At 38.0% G+C, this 948-nt stretch overlaps 1 annotated feature.

Annotated features, from left to right (window-relative positions):
• Positions 280-481: a silencer, noted in NCBI's record as "fragment chr5:40860098-40860299 (GRCh37/hg19 assembly coordinates)". NCBI's record gives its function as "represses an EF-1alpha promoter that drives an FKBP-Casp9 reporter gene in an ReSE screen in phorbol 12-myristate 13-acetate-treated (for megakaryocytic differentiation) K562 erythroleukemia cells {active_cell/tissue: K562(+PMA)}" and the evidence as "EXISTENCE:reporter gene assay evidence [ECO:0000049][PMID:32094911]".

The following is a 948-nucleotide window of genomic DNA, read 5'->3' on the forward strand; positions in this document are numbered from 1 at the left end:
CAGGAGAATCGCTTGAACTTGGGAGGCGGACGTTGCAGTAAGCCGAGATGGTGCCTATGCACTCCAGCTCAGGGTGATAGAGCAAGACTCCGCCTCAAAACAACAACAACAGCAAAACACAAAAACTTGTTTATGTATGTATACATATATATATTATTTACTACATTGAGAGCATTCAAATTTGTACTTGACTATTTTTGTAAGCAGATGCCACAGTCTACTCAATGATTTACCACTTTCGACACCTGAAAATCCTATTTTCTTCTTTCTATATTGCCCAGGCTGGTCTCGAACTCATGGGCTTAAGCGATCCTCCCACGTTGGCCTCCCAAAGTGCTGGGATTACAGGCGTGAGCCACCCTGCCTGGCCTGAAAATTCTGCCTCAAACATCTCAAACATCCATTTATATTTTGTACAAGAAAGTAAATAAAATTTTTCTTTTTAACATTAAAAAAATTGTGTTCTTTGTTGAGATGCTTGAAAGGCATGCATACCAATGTGATACAAAGACTGGGCGTTGGGACAAAGTTGTGCACTTAATGAATCAAATTAACTTCATAAACCTAGGTTTTACCTGTATTCACTTGATCTCCTACATTTCCTTAGGTCTTTGAATTTTTCGTAGTCTCCTCTTGTGATTAAGGTATAATCACCTTTCCAATGTTTGCTATATAGGATTCATGGAGACAAAATATTTGGTGCGGAAGATAAATGTCATTCTGATTGCCAATGGTTCAGTCTGACTTAATAAGTGCCTTTAAGTGCTAATTAGCTAAGGGCATCTTAGCCTTTACTCTAACAAATACCAGTGCCTTTAAGTGCTAATTAGCTACTGGTATTTGTTAGAGTAAAGGCTAAAATGCTGTAGTAAAAATAAGGCAAAAGTGTAATGGCTTAAATAATATGGGAACTTATTTCTCTCTCGTTTAACACTTCAGCCTGTCTAG

The sequence above is a fragment of the Homo sapiens genome, chromosome 5, assembly GCF_000001405.40.
Source record: "Homo sapiens chromosome 5, GRCh38.p14 Primary Assembly".
NCBI lineage: Eukaryota > Metazoa > Chordata > Mammalia > Primates > Hominidae > Homo > Homo sapiens.